The 23,060-nt window shown below is 36.1% G+C and overlaps 1 protein-coding gene and 1 pseudogene across 4 annotated transcripts in view; one reads left to right on the top strand and one right to left on the bottom strand.

Moving 5' to 3' along the window:
• SLC9B1 (solute carrier family 9 member B1) overlaps window positions 1–23,060 on the top strand; it is a 134,657-nt gene that overhangs the window by 103,726 nt on the left and 7,871 nt on the right. For 2 of the 4 annotated variants that reach the window (NR_047513.2, NM_001100874.3), the window contains 4 exons: window positions 4,443–4,549; window positions 5,392–5,541; window positions 9,336–9,444; window positions 10,330–10,466. Coding sequence is in view for 2 of the 4 variants with exons in the window: in NM_001100874.3 (NP_001094344.2) it covers window positions 4,443–4,549; window positions 5,392–5,541; window positions 9,336–9,444; window positions 10,330–10,466 (503 nt within the window). In the remaining 2 variants the exon portion in view is untranslated. Of the gene's footprint in view, window positions 1–3,850; window positions 3,973–4,442; window positions 4,550–5,391; window positions 5,542–9,335; window positions 9,445–10,329; window positions 10,467–14,647; window positions 15,053–23,060 lie in introns of those variants that run through there. The other 2 variants (NR_047515.2, NM_139173.4) reach the window with 2 other exon arrangements.
• Window positions 17,308–19,247, bottom strand: PABPC1P7 (poly(A) binding protein cytoplasmic 1 pseudogene 7; annotated as a pseudogene).

Below are 23,060 nucleotides of genomic sequence, written 5' to 3'. Positions count from 1 at the left end.
TGGTAGGGGCATGCTTGGGTTCCTTTCTCATGTTTATTTGTGTATCTTCTGTAGGTCTTTTCTTTGTGGTTACTGTAGAATTACATGAAAACATCTCATAGTTATAATAATCTATTTTAAATTGACAACAACTTAACTTTAATCACATACAAAAACTCTACTTCTTTACACTTCCTTCTCACTTTGTTATCAGTGTCACACAATATATATTTTTATATTGTTTATTCACATAATTTAATACAGTAATGTTATGCTTTTACTTTTTAAATTCTATGCTTCAATTAAAAGTGAATTACAGGCTGGGTGTGGTGTCTTACACCTGTAGTCCCAGCACTTTGAGAGGCCAAAATGGGAGGACCACTTGAGCCTAGGAGTTTGAGACCAGCAAGACCTTATCTCTGCTAAAAATTTAAAAATATTATCTGAGTGTGGTGGTGCATGTCTGTAGTCCCAGCCACTTGGGAGGTTGAGGTGGGAGGATTGCTTTAGCCCAGGCCTGCAAGGCTGCAGTGAGCTGTGATCAAACCACTGCACTCCAGCCTGGGCAACAGAGCAAGACTTTGTCTCAAAAAAGAAAAAGAAAAAAGTAAAGAAAAAAAGTGTTTTACTTACCACCATTACAGTATTAAAGGATTCTATGTTCACTCATATATTTACCTTTACCAAAGAAGTTTATGTTTTGTATGCTTTTGTATTTCTATCCAATGCCCTTTCATTTCCACATGGAGGACTCCCTTTAACATTTTTTGTAAGGTAGGTCTAGTGGTGATCAATTCCCTCACCTTTTAATTCTCTGGGGAACTCTTTGTTTGTCCTTCATTTTTGAAGTACAGTTTTACTGGCTATACAGTTCTTGGTTGACAGTTTTTTTTTTTTCTTTCAGCCCTTTTAATATATCATCCCATTCTCTTCTGGCCTGTAGAGTTTTTGCTGAGAATTCCACTGATAACCATATGGCATCTCCCTTGTATGTGAAAAGTTGCTTTGATCCTGTTCCTTTCAAAATTCTCTCTTTGTCTTTGACTTTTGACAGTTTGATTGTAATGTGTCTCATTGTAGGTCTTTTGCAAATTATCCAACTTGGAGTTCTTTGAGACTCTTGGATTTGTATGTCCATTTCCTTCTTTAAATTTGAGAAGTTTTTGGTCATTTTTTTAACTGGCTCTCTGCCCCTTTATTTTTCTCTTCTTCTGGCACTTTCATAATACATACATTGGTCTGCTTGATGGCATCCTATAAGTCTCTTAGGCTGTCTTCACTCTTCATTCCTTTTCCCTTTTGCTCCTCTGACTCCATAATTTCAAATGACTAGTCTTCTGTTTCACTGATTCTTTATTCTGCTTGATGTTATTGAAACTGCCTTTGCAAAAATTACAACTGAAGAAATTATGACAGTGAAAGACATCAGACCTAATCAACTCCATCTTGCTTCTAGCATTTAAACTGTCCTTGTTCATTCCTGGCAGTCGGATGAACTAATTTTGGGAAGGTATTCAGTTCATGGTTTGACTCTGAAACAAAGTTGATAATAGCCATTTCCTGAAAAGATCCCCTTCTTGCCTGGAACCAGTCTGCCTTTGCAGGATAAACAAATTAGCTATAGCATTAGAAATTACAGTTGAAGGGTTATGCAGCCTCTGGCTCCAAGAGTCTGAACCTCTCCAAATTGCTCCTGGGGATAACATCACTATTGTAAAACCTAAAATCATTGCTTGAGATATTTTGCAGACCCTGCACTGGCTGATTCATCCAGTGCACCCAGACTGGTAATAATGGCTCAACTAGTTCTGCCATCCCACCCACAAACAGAAGACAGCAAGAAAACATCACTTCAACCCCCTATGATTTCATCTCCAACCTGATGAATCAGCAGTCCCCACTTCCCAAGCCCCTACCTGCCAAATTATCTTTAAAACTTCTGATCCCCGAATGCTCAGGGAGACTGATTTTAGTAATAATAAAACTCTGGTCTCCCGCACAGCTGGCTCTGGATGAATTACTCTTTCTCCATTGCAATTCCCCTGTCTTGATAAATCAGCTCTGTCTAAGCAGGGCACAAGGTGAACCCATTGGGCAGTTACACAGTCTGTTGGTGATTTCCAATAGTGAATTTTTCAATTGAGCTGTTGTATTCCTTAGCTTCAGAGTTTCTGTATGGTTCCTTTTTTTTTTTTTTTTTTTTTAGTTTCTATCTCTTTGTTAATATTTTCATTTTGTTCATGAATTATTTCCTGCTTTCATTTAGTTATCTATTTCTGTTGTCACTGGGCTTCATTAAGAGAGTTAATTTGGATTCTTTGTCAGGTAACTCATTTATCTATTTCTTTAGGATTGGTTTCTGGAGATTTATTTTGCTCCTTTAATTTAGTCATCAGGTTTCTCTGTTTCTTCTTATGCCTGTTATTTTTTATTTTTTTATTTTTTACTTATTTTTGCCAAGATTTGGACGTTTGAAAAAACTGCCACTGCTCCCAGTTTTTATCAGCTGGCTTCATACGGAAGACCTTTACCTGAATCAGCATGGCTATAGGTTCTAGCAGCCTCTCAAACCTTTTCTGGGAATGCATCTTCTTTGGGTTTATACATTGCAACATCCCAAGTAGAGGTTTGCCAGTTTCTTTTTCTGGAGCTGTTGTTCTCTCTGGTATCTGTCTGTGGCACTGCAGGTTCCCTGGTGCTGCATCATCTCTGACCTCTCCTTTATTCCCAGTGGCTCCCACGCATCCAAAGTATGCCAGTTGGGTGTCAAGTTAGAGAGAGAGAGAGAGCTTCAGGTAACCTCATAAAACTATTCCGTTCCAGTCTTCTCTTTCCCTGCTAATGGAGAAGCTGCAAGTTGAGTGCTTCCCAGCCACACCAACCTGTTCCAGCTTGGGGAAGGGGTATCATGAGTATAATGCAACAGCTTTTCTTATTTGTTCAATGCCACTATTCTTGGCTTTGCACTTGTCTGTGCTACTACAGCTTCTTAATGGTTTATGGAACTCCATAAAGGCTTTTAGACCATATATTGTTGTTCAGTTGGTATCTTTATGGAGAATCAAGGTTTGGAGCTCCCCATTCCACCATCTGGCTGACATCTCTCTGTTTATATTATTTTTTATTTTTATTGTATTTTATTTTCTTGAGACAGGATCTTGCTCTGTCAGCCAGGCTGGAGTGCAGCCTCAAACTCCTGAGCTCAAGGGACCTCCTCCCTCAGCCTACTGAGTACTTGGACTATAGGCACACACCACATACCGGGCTAGTTTTTTATTTTCTTGTAAAGATGGGGTTTCACTCTGTTGCCCAAGCTGGTCTCAAACTCTTGGGCTCAAGCAATCCTTCTGCCTTGGCCTCCCAAAGTGCTAGGATTAAAGGTGTGAGCCCACCATGCCCTGCCTGTTATATTTAGTAGAAAATATGTCTAAAAATATACTTACTTACTATATTGAATCCACTACCCAGAGCTTAACTGAACTATTTTTGTGACTCATTTTGTTTTTTTATTTTTTGTTTTTTACTTATTACAATGAACTACAAGTATGGATATATTAATATTAATGAATATAAAATATACTGGAATCTTTTGTATTTTTTTTCCTTTTTTCTTCACCAAAAGCAGATACTTAAATATACTGAAATCTTAATTGACCCTTGAATGTTTCTAGGACTGACCCTGGAACAAAATTTTTTATGTTGTTATTACATTGTTCTTTTCATGTTAAAATCATTTGTTTCTTTTTCATATAGTACATGAAAGAAGAATTGTTAATATAGCCCTTAACAGCCATATGCTAAGTGCCACAAGTGTTTCGGTCTCTCTCCATTCTTGTACCTCACTTAGTCTTTTTTTTTTTTTCTTTTGGAGGTGTGGCCTCCGTCTTTCACCCAGGCTGGAGTGTGGTGTCACGATCTCAGCTCACTGCAAACTCTGCCTCCCGGGTTCAAGTGATTCTCCTCCCTCAGCCTCCCGAGTACCTGGGACCACAGGTGTGTGCCACCATGCCCAGCTAATTTTTGTATTTTTAGTAGAGATGGGGTTTCATTATGTTGGCCAGGCTGGTCTTGAACTCCTGACCTCAAGTAATCCACCCTCCTCAGCCTCCCAAAGCACTGGGATTACAGGCGTGAGCCACTGTGCCTGGACTACCTCACTCTGTCTTTTAAGTTGGCTATGTAAGGGGAGCATCTTGTGCTTGTTAAGTCTTTGTTTTCTGGCCTATTTACATAATGGACATTTCTGAGTTGTGTGTATATATTAAATTATTTGAGAGTATATATTTAACGTACTAAATAGATCTACATGTTTTCATATATGTCACTATAAAAAGACCATTTGCATATATTTGTTCTATAAAATGCTTACTTTTCTTCATGAACCACCTAGATTTGCTTTTCTGATGTGTAGTGTATGTGAAGATACTTCTTTGTGAATTTTTTTTTATTGTGTGCCCCTACAGGTGGTATACTTAATAACGCCATAGCCTCTATAAGGAACGTATGTATTAGTCTGCTGGCAGGAATTGTTTTGGGATTTTTTGTTCGATATTTTCCAAGTGAAGACCAGGTAAATACAAAATCTATTTTATAGAAGTATAGTATTAGACATTTTTTTCAAAATATTAAACTTTGGTAAGGTCGATGAAATTTAATACTTAATTCTATTTCTCTAAAACTAGCCTCCAATGCCTACTCTGTACTTAAAACTGAGCACAGCAGTGATTGATACAGGTCAATGGCTTTGATTAAAGTCTCTGCTTCTTAATTTGGCAAATAAGGAATATCAAAAAATATACTTAATGCAGAGTATCCCTCTGAATTATACTTTCCCTTTCTCTACTAAACTGCCTACTGATGTTTGATAATTTCCCCCAAATTTTCCCTTAAACATTTTAGGGGGAAATAGGTCCCCATTTATTTCTGCATATTTTCTGACTGAAATTCACTCCTGCTCTCCTTTGACAAAGGCAACACTCAAATTTAGCCATTTCCTGCCTTAAAGGAAAACATGCCATTACTTTTGTATTTCTGTAATTTCCATCCAAATTTAGCTGTAACATATTGACCAAAGAGATATTCAAATATTTTTTAAGAATTCATTGGATATGTTATATGAAACTGGAGATTTTATGGGTCTCTTTTCTTCTTCACTTATAGTAATACTTTAACCATATTACTGATACTAGTATCAGAGATATGGCAGAAGATGAAACGTGACTAATTGCAAATTTTGTTACTTGGTAGTAAGTCTGCTAAAATATATGGTGAGAAAGAAAATCAAAATTTTAGACATTTAATATAACATTTAAAGACATAATATCAGAGGGTCAAAAATATATAATAGATAATGTCAAATCTTATATTATATATTTAATATAAACTAATTTCTAAATATCTATCTAATTCTAGAAAAAACTTACATTGAAGAGAGGATTCCTTGTTTTGACTATGTGTGTTTCTGCCGTCTTAGGCAGCCAACGTATTGGTTTACATGGATCTGGAGGATTATGCACACTAGTGTTGAGTTTCATTGCAGGGACAAAATGGTCCCAAGAAAAGGTGAATATTTTTAATATGCTATATTTTAAAAGCTAAAACAACTGAATTTTTTACATATATTTAGGAAATCCCCTCATTCTGGTTGGAAAATGTTCCAAAAGGTTTTCTGTCCTCAAGAAAGTGTATGAATCAATCGAGGAAAGAAAATATTTAGGAAAAGCACCTGGAAATATACTAATATGGAATCAGAAGTTGAGTTAATCACATCAGGCTTCTCTTTTTCCCAAGTTTTATATAATATTATTATATTACCTTTATCAATCTAATTATTTTATTCATTGAAATTTTAATTATACAATTAATCCATGAAAAATGTTTGTAAAAGGCCGGGGACGGTGGCTCATGCCTGTAATCCCAGAACTTTGGGAGGTGGAGGCGGACAGATCGCGTGGGGTCAGGAGTTTGAGACCAGTGTGGCCAACATGGTGAAACCCCATCTCTACTAAAAATACAAAAATTAGCTGGGCATGGTGGTGTGGTGGTGGGCACCTGTAATCCCAGCTACTCAGGAGGCTGAGGCAGGAGCATCACTTGAACCCAGGAGCCAAGATCATGCCATTGCACTCCAGCCTGGGCAACAAGTGCAAAACTCCATCACAAAAAAATAAATAAATAATAAACAAACAAATAATAAAAATAGAAATGCTTGTAAAAGAATAAAACATATAGAATAAAATGTAAAAGATTTCTTTATTCCCCACCACTGTCAAATATCAAACCCCCTTACATTTTTTTAAGTAACCAGTATTCTATTTATAGACATTAAGATCGTTTCCACTTTTTGTTATTTACAAACAGTGCTGTCATAAACAGTGTTGTTCATGTCTTTTTTTTTGAGACACAGTTTCACTCTTGTCACCCAGGCTGGAGTGCAGTAGCATAATCTTGGCTCACTGCAAACTCCACCTCCTGGATTCAAGTGATTCTTCTGTTTCAGCCTCCCTAGTAGCTGGGATTACAGGCGCACACCACCACACCCAGCAAATTTTTGTATTTTTAGTAGAGACGGGGTTTCACCATGTTGGCCAGGCAGGTCTTAAACTCCTGACCTCAGGTGATACTCCTGCCTCGGCCTCCCAAAATGTTGGGATTGCAGGTACATCTATAGGGATAGAGTCCTAGAAATGACTTTTTTTTTTTTTGAGACAGAGTCTCTCTATGTTGCCCAGGCTGGTCTTAAAATCCTGAGCTGAAGGGATCCTCCCAACTTGACATCGCAAAGTGCTAGGATTACAAGCATGAGCTACCACACCTAGCTGGAAATGATCTGTGTTTTATTTTGATGGACACTGCTAAATTATCCCTTCAAAAGATTTTGGTTATTTACACTCTGCCAACAGTGCACAAAAATATCTAATTCCTTAACTCATCAACAGCACTTGATATTATCACTAGTTCTATTCTTTTTACTATTAGATGACCTCACCATCCAATTCTTGTAGTTTCTTACAATTATGTGATGTTGTTATTCTTTATTTACATTTCTCTGATTAGTAGTATAGTAAGCTTCTCTTCATATATTCTTTTTAAAATACCTATGATCTTCTTTGACCATTTTTATTGGGTTATTTATTTTTTTGTTTCTAATTTATAGTTTCTCTTAGGGCTACTGATCCTTTGTTATGTATATATTGCATATAATTTTTGCTTATCTTCAACTTTGTTTATGGTGTCTGGTGTATGAAAGTAAAATTTCCTATGACCAAACCTATTGGGTTTTCCTTTTTTGGTTTTGGATTCTGCATCTCATTTAAGAAGGACTTTCTCACTGAAGATTATAACATATAAACGTTACAAAGATATACTATTTTGTATATTATCATTTAATATTTTGGTAGTTTTTGTTTGTTTAATTTGTTTTTTTCATTTAGTCTTTTAATCTATCTGGAATTTATCTTTGTGAATGCTGTGAGGTAAGGTTATACATATATACATATGTGTATCTTACAAACTATTTATATATATACACACACACATACAGTTTGTAAGTTAACTGAACAGAGATAGAACTACATCATGCCTGATGTGTGTGTATGTATATATATATATCTATACACACACACATAAATATACATATATATTCAGACACACATATGTACTTGCATGTGATGAATATGTACATACAGATATATGCACATAAACTAGACAGTCATTTTTTGCCAAATTGTTTATTTATTGACCAATTCATTAATAATTCAGTTTTTTAACATGAACTAAATTCTCCCATATATATTAATTCTGAAGTCTATTTAATCCTACTTCTCTATTTCTATGCCAACACCACTGTTTTAAATCACTGCAGTTTTATGTGTCAAAATCTAATATAGATTATACTTCTTTTTAAAGTATTTTTTGGCTGTTCCTACACATATTCTTTCTTAGATAAATTTTAGAATCAGCTTGAGAAGTTCCCCAACCAAAAATCATAGTGACATTTTGTTTAGTATTCTTATATAATCATAATGATAAAAGAAATGAAATGAATGAAATGCAAATCAATAAATAAAATTAAAACTGCTAGAATTTTTTTAAATGGTAAAAGAAACAGAACTAAAACAAGTTTTAAAGATTAAAAGTAACAAATAGGATAATTATGCTGTAAAGAATAGTAACATTGTTTTTCTTTGTTTTTCTTTTTTTAAACTATAATAAGTGGGGATCAGAAAACACAGTCATAAGGGAAATAGTTATGAAGATAGTTTATGCCTCAAGGAAGAGACATCAAAGTTCTTATGTATCTTCTGTTTAAAAAAAAAAATGTTAAACCCAGACTGAGACTGAAATCTCTTCATCCAAATTCCTGGAGAAGAGCCAGAGTAATGTAGGCCAATAGGGGCCTTTCCTGTAACGTTTTAATTGGGGAAGTAGCACTGGGAGGCATTCGTTTCCAGAAAGGGAAGCTGGGTAGGCAGTTAAATGAGAATCTAATATATGTTTTGGTTTTGTTTTAAGGAAAAAGTAACTTTAAAATATTCAACATGGGTTCTTTGGAAGCAGGCCTAGCAGACTTCCAAATTGTTTTTCCTAGTAGTATATGCTATATATATCAGGATTCACTTTAATGGGATTGAGTTCCAGGATGGTTGTTAGTGGAGGGCTTCCCAACCCCCTTTTGAGAACCCAAATGTTTGCATGAACTGGGTATGTTCTCATCAGGCATGATGTAGTTATATCTCTGTTCAGTTACTTTACAGACAAAATCTGGAACTCATACGAAACATGGCTAGAACCCTAAGGACATCACTTATTCTGTGACAAAATGGCCAAATAGTATTATTTTATTGCTTTGTGAGTTTATTTTAATCAAATTCTACCTAAGTGTTTGAATAAAACTATTGAAGTGCTCAGTTTTTATTAAGTTTAACATTTTTATTAAAATAAAGTGTCTTAAATTTATTAAATGTTAAATGACTTTAGGCCAGGCATGGTGGCTCATGCCTATAATGCCAGTGCTTTGGGACGCCACAGCCAGAGACCACTTGAGGACAGGAGTTCTAGACCATCCTGGGCAACATAGCAAGACTCCATCTCTATAAACAATTTAAAAATTAGCCCAGCATGGTGGTACACACCTGTAGTTCTACTTGGGAGACTGCGAGAGGATCACTTGAGCCCAGGAGTTCAAGGCTACAGTGAGCTATGATTATGCCACTACACTCCAGCCTGGGCAACAGAGCAAGACCCCATCTCTAAAATACTTAAAAAATGAAAAAAAAAAGGGGGGGGAAGACTTTAAGTTTCTGAAATATATTTATGTGCCAAAATCATTATAAATGTATTTCTCTTTTCTATAGATGAAAGTCCAAAAGATTATTACGACTGTATGGGATATTTTTCAACCACTTCTTTTTGGTTTAGTTGGAGCAGAAGTATCTGTTTCATCGCTTGAATCAAATATTGTTGGTAAGAATAATTAGAGCACAAAAAATATGAAATTCAAAAATATTTAAGAAAATTATAAATACATTTATTTTTATTTACAATATATCTTTGGCTACAACGACCTTCTTCAGAAACACATGTTGATACAGTGTCATATTTTCATATTGCTCTTCCTTTACACTGGGTGCTCTTTTTTTTTTATAAACCAAGGACAGCCCTGAATATATTCCCTGAGTTATCTGAAGAAATAAATATAAGATTTCTTTCCTGAGGGAACATATTTGATACGATCAGCGCTTTTTGAGTACTTTCATTTAAAACTATTGGCTGGGCGTGGTGGCTCATGTCTGTAATCTTACTTTGGGAGGCCGAAGCGGGCAGATTTCTTGAAGTTAGGAGTTCGAGACCTGCCTGGCTAACATGGGGAACCCCCTCTCTCCTAAAAATACAAAAATTAGCCAGGTGTGGTAGTGCGCGTCTGTAATCCCAGCTACTCGGGAGGCTGAGGCAGGAGAATCGCGTGAACCCGGGAGTCGGAAGTTGCAGTGAGTTGAGATTGTACCACTGCACTCCAGCCTGGGTGACAGAGCAAGAATCCTTCTCAAAAAATAAATTATTATTATTAATAATAAAAGTATTCAAAAGAAGTCTATTAGTTCAGAATTGTATAAATGTCATCTGTCTTATTTTTCATGGTACTTCCACCATCAGATACTCTCTTGCACTTTACAGAGAATCCTCCATCATATTCATTTTTTATAATCATTGTTTTTATGTAAAAAATAAGCACATGAAGAGACAATAGCCTTAAAATGTTTTCAAAAGTTTTAGAAATCATATTCCTGGGCATGAAGAACACTTCTTCACAAATATTTTGTTATTTATGTTTGTTTTCATCTGTTGTAGGCATATCTGTTGCCACTCTAAGTTTGGCATTATGTGTTCGAATTTTAACCACATATCTATTGATGTGCTTTGCTGGTTTTAGTTTTAAGGAGAAAATATTTATTGCTTTAGCATGGATGCCCAAAGCTACAGTACAGGTAAGAACATATTAAGCCTGTTGCTTAATGCTTTCATTTTGATGCTTTTAAAATTTAAAATGAAAAATGTTACTCTAGTCACAAAATATGAGCTATTATCCTTACTTTTTAAATGTTTGATTGATCATAACTATTCATTAAAATTAACGTAACCAGTCCTGGCTACTCAGGAGGCTGAGATGGGAGAATCGCTTGAACCCAGGAGGCGGAGGTTGCAGTAAGCTGAGATGGCACCACTGTATTCCAGTCTGGGCGACAGAGTGACTCCATCTCAAAAAAATAAATAAATAAATAAATAAATAAACAAAAACAAAGAACCTTAATGTAATCTTTTTCTATTTTTATTTTTATTTTCATTTTGAGACCAGGTCTCACTCTGTCACCCAGACTGGAGTGCAGTCGCATGATCACAGCTCACTGCAGCCTCAACCTCCTGGGCGCAAACAATTCTCTCACATCAGCCTCCTGAGTAGCTAGGATCACAGGCACCTGCCACCACACCCAACTGCTTTTTTATTGTTTTTTTTTTTGAGACAGAGTCTCACTCTGTTGCCCAGGCTGGAGTGCAGTGGCATGATCTCGGCTCACTGCAACCTCCACCTCCCAGGTTCAAGCGATTCTCCTGCCTCAGCCTTCTGAGTAGCTGGGATTATACAGGTGCACACTACCACACCCAGCTAATTTTTGTATTTTTAGTAGAGATGGGGTCTCACCACGTTGGCCAGGCTAGTCTCAAACTCCTGACCTCAAGTGATCCACCCGCCTCAGCCTCCCAAAGTGCTGGGATCACAGGCATGAGCCACTGCGCCTGGTCTTTTTTTTCTGATTTTTTTGTAGAGAAGAGGTCTTGCTATGTTGCCCAGGCTGGTCTTGAACTCTTAGGTTCAAGTGATCTTCCTGCCTCAGCCTCCTAAAGTTCTGGGATTATGAGCATAACCCACTGGGCCCAGCCAATGTAACCTTTTTAAATCTCAGTTTTAAAAGCAATTCTTTTGAAATTAAAAAGTATTCTTTCAATAAGTACTTCCTAAGTTTATGAAAATGTTTTTTATTTTCCTAAAATATATAATAAGAATATATCTGAAAATTGGAGTTTTTATATTTTGCTGAATATAACAAAGCTAAATGTTATGATTTTAAAAAGTAGAGACACAGGCCAGGCATGGTAGCTCATGCCTGGAATCCTAGCACTTCGGGAGGCTGAGGCAGGCAGATCACTTGAGCTCAGGAGTTCAAGACCAGCCTGAGCAACATGGTAAAACCTCGTCTCTACAAAAAATACAAAAAAATTAGTCAGGTGTGTTGGCACGCACTTGTAGTCACAGCTACTTGGGGGCTGAGGCAGGAGGATTGCTTGAACTCAGGAGGTTGAGGCTGCAATGAGCTGAGGTCACACCACTTCACTCCAGCTTGGGTGACAAAATGAGACCCTGTCTCCAAAAAAAAAAAAAGTAAAGTAAAATAGAGACACATTGATTTTTTAAAAAATACTTTTCCTACCTTGCCACTCACTCCATCACACAAATGCACATTTATTGTTTTTAATTACACATTTATTTGTATTCTATTTGGTTAATGGCTAAATCCCTGCCCCTGCCCCCTTGATAGACTACGTAAGGACAGGGACAGTGTCTGGTTGTTGCAGTTGTTTTTCATTATTTCTCCCTGGCACTTAACACAGTGCCTGACATGCAGGAGCCAAATGTGTATTGCATGCCTGCAAGAATGAATGAACAGAAAGGGAAACCTTGTAATTTTGCCCTCTTATTCAAGGATATTCTCCTCCTCCTAAAATATATTGCTACTTATTGTTAGACTGTTTAACTTGGCAGCATAATATACCTTAATTTCCTGTGGCTCTTTTCTTAGTTGTTATTCCAAAACAGAAGCTCCTAAATTTTCATGCAAAAAAAACCTCTATTATCATGTTAGAAAAGCAGGTTCATAGGGCCTGACTACCTGTTTTGAATACCATGTTACTTGCCTATAACCTCAGGAAAATTATTTTCTAATCTCTCAGTCCTTCAGTGTTCTCATCTTACAATGAAGTCTATGACTGTATCTGTTTCTTAGCAGTGTTGTCAGGATTCAATGAGATAATCCACGTAAAGTGCTTAGCACTCTCTCTGGCATATGGTGGTGCTCAATTAACAATGTTGTTATTTTATCTTACCTTCAAGTAATATAAATAATAACTTTTTATTTTTAATGTCTACTGTAGGGAATAATAAATCTACAAAAGGAGTATCTGTTCTCTCTCCTTCCAACAATACTCTCGCAATTTTGTTTTATTATTTCATAATTTTCATAAAGCAGGGAAAAAAGAAAAGCAGGTATGAGGAAAGAGACCACTCACTCGAGTCCTGCAGTATTATTCTGCTTCTGCCTATTCCTGTCTGCTGGCTTCAGGCTAGCTTCTACACAAAGAATATCAAGCTGGTTCCAGGAACTGGCAAGACATAAAAAATTAATTATTTATACAAGTAGAGTCACAACAGCAATAATAGATAACGATAATGTCACAAGTAAATAAGATCAACAAATATTTAAATTTCAATTTTAAATTATTTTCACCTTTATCCTCTTCCACCGTTCTCTGCTGCTAACATAAAATTGGCTAAGGTTCAGCTCTTTCTCTTGTTCTTCAGTTTCGAGTTACTGATAAAAATTAGAGTGGAAAAATGAAGCTATTAGGAGAGTAAATAAATAATTTAGTTTACAAATGTAAGATCAGCTTGGCAATTGGATTCTTTTAAAGAAATAATATTAAATCTCAGTCACTAGGAGGAAATCATTTATCATCTAATAAAGTCCTCACATAATAAGGTTGTCGTAAGAATTAAATGAATTGATAAATGGAAAGCTTTAAGAATGATACCTGCCATATGATGAATGCCATATAACTATATAAATATTATTTCTAGTTTCACCATTATCATAATCATCTCTTAAAAGTCAATGGGTTTGGTTTTTGTTTTTTGTTTTTTCTGTTGGAAGTTCTTTTATGTTCAAATCCTCTTCTAAACTGTAAGATTCTTTCAAGTTGGTTTTCTGCATGATTATCTTTTTCTCCCTAGCATCCTCCAGCACACTGGCTCACGTTCAGTACATTAAAAGTTACGATATAAAAATGATACCATTTTAAATTATTGATTTAGGATATAGAAATTGATCTTAAATTGAGGGGTTCTTTTGCCATAATGTTCCATATCAGAGGTAATGTTTCCACCATTATGTTGTTACTTTGCAACTCCATAGAAAATATGTTATATATTGGTATTTAATTCCCCAAAATTTTAAGGCAATTTCATGCCTAGATTATTAAACACAAAGAAAGAGGGTTAGCAAGAAATTTGCTTTATGTTATTAAAAATAATGTGGTAGAAGGTGACTAGGGAAAAAAACTTGTGACCCAGTACAGTCATTCTAAAACGAAAACTTCAAAGGAACTCATTCTCTGACCTGGCAGGGCATGAGGAGTGAGGGAGAGAGAAACTTACTACTATCTGAATACCTACTGTGTGCCAGCTGTTCTTTGCATTCTCATATTTAATTTTCACAACCATTCAGTAAGATAAGTATTTTGTTCTTCATTTTACACATAAGTAAGTAGAAGGTTAGAGAGTGTGAGTCATTTGTACAAGGTCACTAGCCTGGTTGCAGCAAAAATAGAATTCAAACCCGGTTTGCTAGATTCCAAGCCTGCTGTCAGTTCTGCTATAACACAGTGCCCCCTGAATAGGGAGAACAATGAGAAGAAGGGCAACAAATCCTAGAGAACCATAAGAAACCTTAGTATTTTATGTTGTCTTGTTGTAGTCAAGAACCACTTGCACACGGTAAAGGCAACTAAGCAAAACTGGTTTCGTTAGAACTCCTGGTGTTATGAGGGCAACATGAACACTCAAAAGAGATATTCGAATAGAGGAACACTGAGAGGACAAGAGTGCAAAATCAGCCCAAAAATGTTTGCCTGCTGATTTGTCACTATTGTACTCTTCCTCCACATATATTTGCTAGGAAGAACATGGAACTGATGAGTAACTTATGAAAATTACTGAGTACTTTTTTTTTCTAATAGTCTAGTACTAGATTTTGTTTATTTTAACAGAGCCATTTACATTATATATCAACTCAGTTTAATATTTTTCTTTATGCCCCATTTTTACCCCTAAATGCAGGCTGTGTTAGGTCCTCTGGCTCTAGAAACAGCAAGAGTCTCCGCACCCCACTTGGAACCATATGCGAAGGATGTGATGACAGTAGCATTTTTAGCCATCTTGATCACAGCTCCAAATGGAGCTCTACTTATGGGCATTCTGGGGCCTAAAATGCTTACACGCCATTATGATCCAAGCAAAATAAAACTGCAGTTGTCAACATTAGAACATCATTAAAAAGTTTACCTGTCATCATCTGCCTGCTTCTTTTAATGAATTATTTCACATGACAGAAGAATTTTAAAGTAGAAATATGTGGGGACTGTACAGAGAATCCAGGATTTAGTAAACATGTGATTTCAGTACAGGGCTTTTCTTGGACTTTTTACTCCAAAGTTAATTTAATAAAAATAATATTAAATGGAATGCTCTCTTGGTATTTACATACTGTAAGAACAAATTAAATCTGTAAATACCCTAGGAAAGTTTAAAGTAATCCCTCAGGCTGAATTTGATATCATAATACAAACTGAGCTTAATATAAAATTAAACAAACTTAATGGCAGAAAGAAAAACTTTGAATATTGAACTTGGTAAGATAGCCTAAGTTTCCAAATAGAAGGAGTAGAACTCCCATGATGTCCAGTAATTCAGTTAAAAAGATCACCACAAAAAGAAAGAAAAGGAATAAAACACATCAACTTTAAATGGGTTAACTAAATAGATTTTAAATTCTGGTTTTGGTGACTACCTGAGTAAATAATATGTTCAGTAATAGAACCAAGTTAGTCTTTCCTTACTTCTGCCATGCCCTTAAAATGAAAGTCTGGTTTAGCAGTTTTTAGATGAAACACTATCTATATTTTTATTTATAGAAATAAAATTAAATCACAAATGGAAGTAAACTATATTTTTTTCAATTAGTATTTTAAAATCTAGGCATAAAAGGCAGCCTCCAAAAATGAAAGATTTGGAGACTGCTGTCATGTGGCAGTTTCTTCTCCTTAGTAATATAGAATTACCTTTTAATTCTGGCTGATTAAATCTGCCATGTTAATGTAGAACCCATCACAAGCAAAGTGAGTTTTAATTAACTTCAAGACTCTTTATTTTAAAGTTATAAGAGTCATATAAACGATTCTAAAATGGCCTTATTGAATGGCATCTTAGAAATTGTTTAGACTTCTTTGGCAAAAGCTCAATGCAAGGACTGAATATTACTTTCATTCCTCTTTTTCCTCTTCTCCACAAGCAAGGTATTAAAATACCACAGAATATGACATTTACACATAAATTTGCCAAGTGAAGCAATTAAAATTTAAGGCAATCAAAACTATGTGTTATTCCTATTAAGACTAAGGGCTTTTACAGAATATATCACCGAAACTGCCAGAAGTTCTAAAACCTTCTGGGAAATAACTCTTAGAAAATACACTCTGGGAGAATAACTCTGGGAAAAGATAAAATAGCTACTATTTTAGTGACATTTTCTCCTTATAGTTTTACAACAAAGTACAGACTCCATTTTCAAATATTGTAATTCTAGTACTCAAATTCTAAAAATTTAAACTGTGCCAGTGTTTTGACTACTATTTAAATCATGAGGGCATCTCATTGTCACTTACAAGAAAATAAAAATATAAGCAGGGTGTTGTGGCTCATGCCTGTAATCCCAGCACTTTGGGAGGCCGACATGGGCAGATCACGAGGTCAGGAGTTCGAGACCAACCTGACCAACATGGTGAAACCCCGTCTCTACTAAAAATACAAAAATTTGTCAGGTGTGGTGGCGCACACCTGTAATCCCAGCTACTCAGAAGGCTAAGGCAGGAGAATCGCTTGAACCCAGGAGGCAGAGGTTGCAGTGAGCTGAGATCGCACCACTGCACTCCAGCCTGGGAGACAGAGCAAGACTCTGTCTCAAAAAATAATAATAATAAAATATATATATATATATTTACAAGATAGTATTTTACATTCACAAGAGGATTAGATTTCAAAGTAGAAAGTTTATTTTAATAAAAGAGAGATAAATAATTTTCAAAATGAGGAATTGTGTTATTGATTAGGAGGAAAATTGTTGTAACTATTCTTTTTATTCTTTATTTATTGAACTTTCTCTAAGTGTCTGTGATATATGTTTATTATACTGAAATAGTCGCCCTTTTAAGGTGGTGTGGCAGATGTTGTTATTTATTTGAAATTTTAAGTTTTTTATTTATAAAAAGTTTTTATAAAAATTTATTAATATAATTTAAAAATTACAACCAGTTAACCATGTGTATGATATTAGTGTTTATAGTATTTAAACAAATAAGGCTGGGCACAGTGGCTCACACCATCCCAGCACTTTGGGAGGCCAAGGCGGGTGGATCATGAGGTCAGGGGAGGGAGACCATCCTGGCTAACATGGTGAAATACAAAAATACAAATAACAAAAAAAATAAAAATACAAAAAACTAGCCAGGCGTGGTGGCAGGTGCCTGTAGTCCCGGCTACTCGGGAGGCTGAGGCAGGAGAATCACTTGAACCTGGGAGGCAAAGGTTGCAGTGAGCCAAGATCACGCCACTGCACTCCGGCCTGGGTGACAGAGCGAGACTCCGTCTCAAAAAAATAAAATAACAAATAAATACAAGATTGTTGTTTCTTATCAACTTTTTGTATCTTTGCCTATTTTTTTCACTGTTTAAGGAATTTTTATTAAAGCAAAATTTTATAATCCAAATTACCTTTCCTTGCTCAGTTATCAATTCTGTTACTTAAAACAGAAGTGACATTCTGAGCTATTCCACACTAACGAATTACAAAATTAAAGGAATGCTTTAAATTTTTATACTTTGCTGAAAATTATTTATCACAGAGTCTGAAAAGCATTGCAGCATTTTTATATTTTATTATTTTGGGAGGATTTTTTGTTTTCAAATCAGTAAGTAATCTAGGACTATCATTGCATTTGTTAGATCTGACGTTTGCTTGGTATGTAAAGTTCAAAGTTTCCTTTTTAAATTTATTTTATACTTTACAAATTTTTTCCATAGTATTTAAGGTTTTTGATATTGAGATTTTTTCTTCAGTGATGCGCAAGTTTCTTTCTGTGGTCCCTGATCAGTTTTAAATAATTGGAACACCAGTGGCACCATTAACTGCTTTCTGGGCAGCCTCTTTAGCTTGGTGGTCTTGTGGTACAGCTATACCTTTGTCAACCTTAGTACAGCGAGGCTCTGGAGATTCAAGCATATGAAGAAGTTCTAAATAACCAATCTCCAACAACATGCCAATGATTTTACCAGCACGACTAGGGCATGGCTTGAAGAAGAGGAAAGAGCCATTCACTCGTTTGCTTTTGCTTTTGAGGAGGAGCAGATGCCATCATGGAAGTCAAAGGTTCTTGACCTTCTACATGAACAGCAGGCTGCTGCACGGTAACTTGGGGCTGTGCATGAAACTGCCATTGAGGATTGTGAACTTCCATAGCATATTTATACTGTGAAATGGTGCAAACAGCAGGAGTATCTGTAGTAGCAGTAGCGGCAACTGCAGAATGTGCTCCTATTGTCTGTGTTGATGTGTTACAACAGCTGTGTTGACATGACTCGTGGAAGCTGTGAAGAAGCTGGTCTCTTACTACTAAATGTAGTGAGCTAGGAGTGGCTTGGGCATATTTTTCAATGGATGAGGTCTGGCACCCTGAGCAATTTAGGGAGGATTTGATCTTAGTTGAGCAGTTTGGCTAGGAGAATACTTTGCAGCATGGCTGTCAGTCTGTGGGATAACTACCATGAAGTAAATTGAAGAAGGTGCTGGCTGATAGAGGCTGATTCCCAGGTTGAGCATAGTTTTTACACTTGCCATTCTTTGCACATACTGTACTGGTTAATGAGCTGAGCCTGGTGCTCTTCATTGCTCTTCTTCCCATGGAGTTAATGCTATATACAATGGCTCAGTGCCCACAATTCTACCATTCATTTCTGAAAGTGCTTTAGTTGCTTCCTCTGGAGAGGAGAAACATACACAAATCAAACCCTTTGTTGTGACAACCATCCTTCATAACCTTTGCATTAGTGATTGTACCAAGTGGAGAAAGTTCTTTCCAGAGACATTCATCAATACCATCAAGATTTTTTGCATAAATGTTAACACTTTGTTATCTGGTGATCCTATACTGCTTGATCTTTTCAAATTTGCACACAAGTTCCATCTGCCATTCTACTTCTTTCTGAGCTTGACCAACATCAATTTGTTTTCCATTGAGCTTCTTTCTGTTCATCTCATCTGCGCATCTTTATGCCTTTCAAAGCTGACAAATCCAAAACCTTTGGGTTTTCCACTTTCATTAACCACTACTTTCACACTTAAGACAGATCCCAACTTGCCAAAGAGATCTTTAAGGCACCTACCATCCATGTCTTCTCCAAAAATCTTCCTGTAAACATTGGTGAACTTTTTAACTCTGAGTTCTGCTTCTCATTGTTTACAAGACTTAATCCAACAAAGACTTTGCTGTCATTTAGAAGCATCCATTTCATTTTTTAATAGAACTTTCAGCTGCTTCTGTGTCTCAATATGTACAATGCCATCACCCTTGAAACCATTTTCACCACAAAGCACCTAATGTGAAAGTGATAGAGACAGGAGGCAACCAAGGGTCCCCCGGTAAAACCCCACCTTCAAGACTAAAACAGCCTGAAGGCTGTTAGATAAACTGGACTGCGGGTCCTGGTTGAAGCCGCCCTTTCCCCACTGATTCTGAATAATGCCCACCTGTGCACTGGGATTACGGGGTGGAGCCTCGGGAAGTTTGTGCAGTGTTTATTTTTTCAATTACTAAAAATGAATTGTTAAAATCTCTCACTATGTTTGTGGATTTTTTTATTGCTCTTTCCAGTTCTAATTTTGGCTTTATTTATTTTGAGACTACATTATTAGGTATCCACAATTTTATAAAAATTAAGAAAAAATTAGAAAAGTTTAGAAAAAAGTGAGAAAAATATAGAAAAAGATGTGACAGAAGCACACATGGGCTTTATCTGGATGATCTCGTCAGGTTTGTATCCTGGGGAAGGCCTTCACAGCAAGAGATGGACCAGAGGATTGAGGCAAGGGGGCCACCACTCAGAAGGGGAGGAGGGCAAAGGAACTCCTGAGGGAGGAAAGGATCAGAGAGGAGGCTTTCATGTCTCAGTGATATCACTCAGCAGCATGGCATGGAGTCTATAGTTCACAGAGTTCCAAAGAGCAGAAGCAGCCTGGGGTCTTTACAGCCTAGGGTTTATCTGTGGCAGGCAGATTTTGGACACAGTTTCCCAGGGCATGTAAATCAGGCAGGCTCTAAATGCCTACAAATCTGCATGTCTGGGCAATGTTTAACACAATTGGATGTTTAAAAATTTGAGTTTGCTGCCAGTTGGCTTTTGAGCTAATGGGTCTCAGCTTGCTGTGAAGAAATAACCTAGGCACCAATACACAGAGGCCATCCTTGTCTCATTTACATTATATGTAGTGACTCTATCCTTTTTTGCTCACAATTGTTTTACTCATTTCTTTTAGATTTGTTTACTGAGATTATTTGGTAGGTAAGATTTCAGTTTATTATAGTTTGCTAATTCATTATTCAAAGTGCTCTACTAAAAATTTTGCTCCATCCTTAGTCCCCATTTAAACAAAACTGCTGTGGGTAAGGTCATCATTGGCCTTCGTGTTATCAAATCTGTTTTATTAACAAAATTTTAATGTTTAAAATTTTCTTATGTGTACACATTTAATTTATGTAATTTTAAAATGGGGTATCATACATGGAATTTGGTAGTTTTCTTTCCTTTTTTTGTTCACTACTCTGTTTCTTAATGCTTTATTATAACCCACAAGGCAATGTCCCCAATATTTATTATGTATAACTGATATTCACATAAAACATATTTTGTCATTAAGTGTTACCTTTTTCCACATAGGTGTTCCTGTTCTTTAGTCTTCTATTTTCTTTCTCTTCTGCTTCTCTCCCACCCTTCCTGTCTCCATTTATGTACGTATTTAAATCATTTAAAAAATCATTTTATGTGTCACTTCAAAGCCTTCAGTGTAAATTGAGGGTCCAATTTTGTTTTCTTTGAATTGTTTATTTTCATATATTAATTTTTCATCTACATGTAGATTCTCAATTTTTTACCACTCTTGCTTATTCTTAATACAATTGTTTTTCTTAATTGATCAATTCCAATAGTTCTATAGTAGGTGCTGATATCTGCTGAGAAAAGTTCCTCTCAATAGTCTTTTTTTTGGAACAATTTTCTGACTATTCTTCTACATGAACTTTAAGATAATTTAATCCAATTTTAAAATGCTTTTGTGATTCTAATGTGAATTTAATTGAATTTATATATAATTTTAGATTTATGTTTTTACAAGAGTTTTGTTTGTTTTTTTGAGACAGGGTCTTACTTTGTCACCCAGGCTGGAGTGCAGTGGTGGGATCTCAGCTCACTGAAGCCCCAACCTCCCACCTCAGCCTCCCAAGTACCTGGTTCTATAAGCATGCGCCAAGCCCAACTAGCTTTTTGTTTTGGTTAGAGATAGCGTTTCACAATTTGCCCAAGCTGGTTTTGAACTCCTGGGCTCAAGCAGTCCTCCTGCCTCAGCCTCCCAAAGTGCTGAGATTACAGGTATGAGCCACTGCGCCTAGCCTCATGTGTTTCTTATTCAGTAGCTTTTGGTAACATTTTTATAGTTTTTTTCTTATAGATCTTCTACCTTTCTTGGTAAATTTATTTTACCTTTATTATTTTTGTTATTGTGAATATTTTTACCACTAGCATTTCAAGGTGCTTATTGCTAATATATTTTGTATTATCATCTTATTTCCAAATAACTTACCAATATTCCTCTTTAAAATATTTGAAATTTCTGTTTTTCCTAATCTCTATGATTTCCTAGGCATATAATCATATCCACAAAAAGTTTTCTATATATTTATACTGATTATTTCATTTAAAAATCTTGTTACATTCATGGATCCTCCAAGATAATCTTTAATAACAAATAATGACAGCAGCTATTCCTACTGGTTCCTTGTTTTAATTGAAACGTTGTTTCATGATTTAAAATACTTGTTTTGTAGGCGTTTCATAAATAACGGTTATGTTTAGACACTTTCCTTCAATTTCTATTTTACTCAAGAATCTTCATTAGGAGTGGATGTTTAATCTTAACAATAGCCCTCTCAGCATTTATTGATATAATCACATTTTTCTCTTCTTTGATGTCATTTATGTAATTGTGTTAATATACTTAACTGATATTGAAATACCCATGAATTCCTGAAATACAGTGCTCTTTGCATACTGTATTACTCTTTTTTGTTGTTGCAATTATTGATAACAGTGCTGGGTTTTTATTTAGAATATTCATTCATATGTATGTCAGATTGGTCTATAGTTTTGGTTTTTTTGTTTGTTTTTTTGTTTTGAGATGGAGACTTGCTCTGTCACCCAGGCTGGAGTGCAGTGGCGTGATCTCGGCTCACTGCAACCTCTGCCTCCTGGGTTCAAGCTGGGATTACAGGCATGCACCACCATGCCAGGCTAATTTTTGTATTTTTAGTAGAGATGGGGTTTCGCCATATTGTCCAGGCTGGTCTTGAACTCCTGACCTTAAGTGATCCACCCACCTTGGCTTCCCAAAGTGCTGGGATTACAGGTGTAAGCCACTGCACCTGGCCTACAGTTTTGTCTTATGTTTATCAGGTTTTCATATTAATGCTGCACTGCCTATGTGAAATGAATTGGTTTTTCTTTTTAAAAAAAATTTGGGATACTTTAAATAACATTGGAATTATCCTTCTTGCAACCCTAGTACTTTTTAAATTATGGATTTTAAAAAATCACTTTACATTCTCTTCTTTGTAACTGGTCTATTAACATTTTAAATTTCTTCTTGGATTAGTTTTGGTCATTTATATTTTTCCAGAAAATTACCCATTTTCTCTAGATTTTCCAATGTGTTGCTAAATAGTTGCATGCAGCATTTCAAAGTGAATCTTTCTTTTTTCTTTTTCTTTTTTTTTTTTTTTTTTTTTTTTGAGATGGAGTCTTGCTCTGTGGCCCAGGCTGGAATGCAATGGCACAACCTTGGCGCACTGCAACCTCTGCCTCCTGGATTCAAGCGATTCTTCCACCTCAGCCTCCCGAGTAGCTGGGATTACAGGCATCCGCCATCATGCCCAGCTAATTTTTATATTTTTGTAGAGACGAGTTTTCACGATGTTGGCCAGGCTGGTCTTGAACTCCTGACCTTAGGCGATCTGCCCGCCTTGGCCTCCCAAAGTGCTGGAATTAATTACAGGTGTGAGCCACCGCACCTGGCCCTCAAAGAGAATCTTTCTACCTTCATCTTATTTTACTTCTTGGTAGCATTCTATAGGGTTGAAGATTGTACTTGTGA

The sequence above is a fragment of the Homo sapiens genome, chromosome 4, assembly GCF_000001405.40.
Source record: "Homo sapiens chromosome 4, GRCh38.p14 Primary Assembly".
Taxonomy (NCBI): Eukaryota; Metazoa; Chordata; class Mammalia; order Primates; family Hominidae; genus Homo; species Homo sapiens.
Note: the sequence above shows the minus strand (reverse complement) of the source record. Positions and strands in the feature narration are given on the sequence as shown.